Genomic DNA, 5043 nt, shown 5'->3' with positions numbered 1-5043 from the left:
ACCACAACCTTGCACACAGAACATTGCAACCTTATATAAAAAATACTTCTGCAAAGACATCTGCCCAGCAACTGCCTGTCCAACCTCGGACGGGTGTCACCCTCGTTAACGATCTTTGTAGCCAAGGATAATTATTTCAAAACAATTATGCAATCCTCCTCATTTTTTCCTTTGAAAACCTTTGTCTTCTTTTACCTCCCTGAATATGCACATAGTTTACTGTGGCACGCATATTCCCATTGCAATGCTTCATTCCCAAAGAAATATCATTTACTTTTAGAGAGTCCCTCTCTGTTACTTAGGTTGACAGTCTGAACCCGCGTACTCCCAGCTGACTCTGGTATAGAAGATGGGAATTCAGAACTGTTGATATAGCTCACAAATACCGTTTATGTTCTCATACCTTTGGGGCTTTATGTACCACATGAAAGGAAAGCACTGCAAATAAACCCAGATCCCAAAGCCCTATGCGGTCACCAGACTCTGGCTTTGAAGCATACCCTTTCCTGGTACATATACACAATGGAATACTATTCAGCCGTAAAAAAGAATGAGATCCTGTCCTTCGCAACAACATGGATGGAACTGGAGGTCATCATGTTAAGTGAAATAAGAAAGACAAACATCACACGTTCTCACGTATTTGTGGGAGCTAAAAATTAAAACAATTTCACTCATAAAGATAGAGAGTAGAAGGATGGTTACTAGAGGCTGGGAAGGGTAGTGGGGGATGAGGAGGGAAGTGGGGATTGATATAATTTGGATCTGTGTACCTGCCCGAGTCTCATGTGAAATTGTAATCCCCAGTGTTGGAAGTGAGGGCTGGTGAGAGGTGATTGAATCCCAGGGGCAGATTTCTTGTGAATGGTTTAGCATCACCCCTCGGTGCTGTTCTCGTGATAATTAGTGAGTTCTCACGAGATCTGGTTGTTTAAAAGTGTGTAGCATCTCCCTGCTCGCTCGCTCTCTTGCTCCTGCTCCAACCATGTGACAGGCTGCTATCCCTTTGCCTTTCACCATGATTGTAAGTTCCCTGAGGCCCCCAAGAAGCTGAGCAGATATCAGCATCATGCTTCCTGTACAGCCTGTGGAACTGTGAGCCAATGAAACCTCTTTTCTTTATAAATTACCCAGTCTTGGCAGGGCACAGTGGCTCATGCCTGTAATCCCAGCACTTTGGGAGGCCAAGGTGGACAGATCATTGAGGTCAGAAGTTCAAGAACAACCTGGCCAACATGGTGAAACCCTGCCTCTACTAAAAGTACAAAAATTAGCTGGGCATGGTGGCGCACACCTGTAATCCCAGCTACTTGGGAGGCTGAAGCAGGAGAATTGCTTGAATCCAGGAGGCAAAGACTGCAGTGAGCCAAGATTGCACCATTGCACTCCAGCCTGGGCAACAGAGTGAGACTTCATCTCCAAATAAATAAATAAATAAATAAATAAATAAATAAATAAATAACCCAGCCTCAGGTATTTCTTTATAGCAATGTGAGAATGGACTAATACAGAGATGATTAATGGACACACACAAAAATAGAAAGAATGAATAGGACCTAGTTATTAATAGCACAACAGGGTGAGTATAGTAAAAAAAAAATGTAATTGTATATTTTAAGATAACTAAGAACATAATTGGATTGTTTGTAACACAAAAGATAAATGCTTGAGGGGATGGATACCCCCACCTACCCTGATGTGACTATTACACTTTGCATACCTGTATCAAAATATCTCATGTAACCCACTCTAGGCCTCCTCTCTGCTATAGCTGAACACTTGACAGGTTGACCTGCCTGCAGAGAGGAGCCACCAATTCCAGAGCCACCTCTCTGCTGAGAGCTGAAGACTCAACAGAGACGAGCTACTCACTATGGGTCTCCTCTAAGCTGTTCTAACACCCAGTAAAGTGCCTCTTTGTCTTGTTCACCCTCCACTTGTCTGCATACCCCATTCTTTCTGGACGCAGGACAAGAACTCAGGCAAAAGTGCCACTGGCCACAGAGGTTTCCAGCCAGAAAAGTGACACCCCAAAGATCTCATAACACCACCACTCCCAGATAATTTTTGTACTTTTTTGTAGAGACTGGGTTTTGCCATGTTGGCCAGGCTTATCTCTAACTCCTGGGCTCAAACAATCAGACTGCCTTGGTTTCCCAGAGTGCTAGGATTGCAGGTGTGAGCTACCGTGCCCAGCCAAAAATCACATTCTTTAAGTATCTGGAATCTATTTCCAGATATGTAAAGCTGGCTTCTCGGTGCTGTATAATATAACCCATGCAGCAGTGAGCAAGTGTTGAGCAGCTGCTGAAAGGACCACAGCTTTGGAAGGCTTCCCTGCTGTTTTCACAGTGTTTTTTCCTGCCACGCAGCCAATAATAATAATCAACAACATTCCTAGACTGTTTCAAGGGTGTCGGGCATAGTGTCATTTACTTCACATCCATTTGATTTTTCAATCTTTTCGTAACAAACATATGAGTCAGGTACTAGTAGTATCTGCATTTAACAAGGATATATGTTCAGAAATTAAAGAATTAGTCCAGTGCCACATACAAATAAAAGTTGCAAAACCAGGATTGGAGGCCAGAGTTTTCTGACTCCAGAGTCCCCACATTTCACCATTAAGTGATACTGCCTCTCTGTGGATAAGGAGACACTTGGACATAGAAGAAGGGTGTGAGGGGTGGTTACAGGAAAATGTGTATATTTTTTCCTGGGCCGTGGCATTTCTAGCAGTAATTTACTCAATAGAAGGGATAGCGAAAGCAATGAATATGGACATCAGGAGCTTGGCCAGGTACCAGGGACCCACACCTAGCAGGCTACTGCCCGATTCTGGGCATCCATCCCAGTAGGGACCTCAGGCAAGAAGCTGAAGCCAGTGAAGCAAAATGCAATTCCCATTAGAGGGAAGGCTGGCTGGTGGGCAGAAGTAGCTTAATGTCTAGGCAGTATTTTGTGATTTTGCTCACCTCTATTACTTCAAAGAACACTGACTATAACATATGTTGGCAGAAAAAGCCCCAACACCTGAATAGTCAAGTTTTCTAATAGGTTGACTAGCAGATTTTCTCATTGGTTTAATGATTAGAAGGGTAAAGTCTGCAGGTAATAGGTGTTGGTAGCTGGGTGGACTTGAGCAGGTAGGAACTAAGAAGGGTTCAAGAACAGCCAACCTCAACATGGAGTGAGACACAGGTTAGGAGATGCTATGGGCCGGGTGCGGTGGCTCACACCTGTAATGCCAGCACTTTGGGAGGCCAAGGAAGGCAGATCACGAGGTCTGGAGATTGAGACCAGCCTGGCCAACATGGTGAAACCCCGTCTATACTAAAAATACAAAAAATAGCTGGGCATGGTGGCAGGTACCTGTAATCCCAACTACTTGGGAGGCTGAGGCAGGAGAATCCCTTGAACCAGGGAGTCGGAGGTTGCAGTGAGCTGAGATCGTGCCACTGCACTCCAGCCTGGGTGACAGAGCAAGAGTCCATCTCAAAAAAAAAAAAAAAAAAAAAGATACATGACAGCCACGACATGAATTCAACTCATCCTTTAATAACGGTTGAGTGCCTTTTATGTCCCAGGTCTTAACGCTGCTGAGTTAAGCAGAAACATTTCAGGGATGATAAGATAAAGTCGCTGCCACTAAGGAAAAGGGAGAAAGAATAGCATTGATTGAGCTTTTACTCTGTGCCAATCACTGTATCTGGTTGTGGGAATGCAAAGAGGAATAAGTCAGAGCCTTTCCCCTTAGAGAGCTTAGAGTCTAGCCAGAGGAGCCAGACCCACAATTAACTCCATAAAGTAAAATGTGGTTAGCTTTGTAGGTGCCCAGGATGTGAAGGGCTGCAGAGCATGGAAGAGGAAATACATGAATTCACCCTGTGTAGGTAAAAGAGGATTTTCTATCTTCCATGGAGATGACATTTGAAATGGATTTTAAATTCTGATTAGGTATTTAACAATTGAGAAAGTAGGAGGACATTGTTGGCACCAGAACAGCATGAAAAAGACATGAACATAGGGAGGCATGGTGGGGCATGGTACATAGCAGACAGTGTGGAGCCCAGCATGGCTAGAGTACAAGACATAAGGGGCGGATAGAGGTGAAGGGCAGCGAAGACTAGAAAGTGGGTAGATCAGGGTTTTAAGTACTTTCAGGTAATAGAGGACCACTGAAGCCTTTCAGCAGGCTTGATGCAATCGGGCCTGTTTCCTTAAAGACAAAGAACTGACAAATGAGAGGAAGGATGGAAGCAAGAAATCCAGGAAGCCACAAGAGTGTTAGCAGAGAGCAGGGCCAACTCCAAGTGTATCTGCTCCTTGATAGGGGTCAGCTGGACATAGCCTGTGCCTCCCATTTTGGAGAAATAAGAGCTTAGGGTAGCCAGATCTTCTCACTTTTTGCGAAAACCTAAAACTGTGCATTCAATGGCAATTACCTACCCCAACACTGATTTTTAATGTTGCTTAAACATCTTTAAATCACCACACAGGACAAGCAAAACATCCTCAGTTAAATTTCTGTACAATTAGGAATACAGGAGGGATTTAAATTCCAAACAGGGCCGGACGCGCTGGCTCATGCTTGTAATCCCAGCACTTTGGGAGGCCGAGGTGGGTGGATCACTTGAGGTCAGGAGTTCAAAACCAGCCTGGCCAACATGATGAAACCCCATCTCTACTAAAATACAAAAAAATTAGCCGGGCGCAGTGGCAGGCACCTGTAATCCCAGCTACTTGGGAGGCTGAGGCAGGAGAATTGCTTGAACCCAGGAGACAGAGTTTGCAGTGAGCTGAGATCACACCACTGGAATCCAGCCTGGGTGACAGAGCGAGACTCCATCTCAAAAAATAATAAATAAATAAAAATTAAAAAAAATTAAATCTAGACAATAAGGTTTGGTAATTGATTCCTAGAGTCAGGCCAACCTGCGTTTGAATTCTTTTTTTCTCACTAACCAACCAGGAGGCCAGGGGCTAGTGAGACAGCCTCTTTGAGCCTTATTACACAAGATGGTTGACATTGTTGCTATGAAA

The sequence above is a fragment of the Homo sapiens genome, chromosome 2 (genome assembly GCF_000001405.40).
Source record: "Homo sapiens chromosome 2, GRCh38.p14 Primary Assembly".
NCBI classification, from domain to species: domain Eukaryota; kingdom Metazoa; phylum Chordata; class Mammalia; order Primates; family Hominidae; genus Homo; species Homo sapiens.
Note: the sequence above shows the minus strand (reverse complement) of the source record.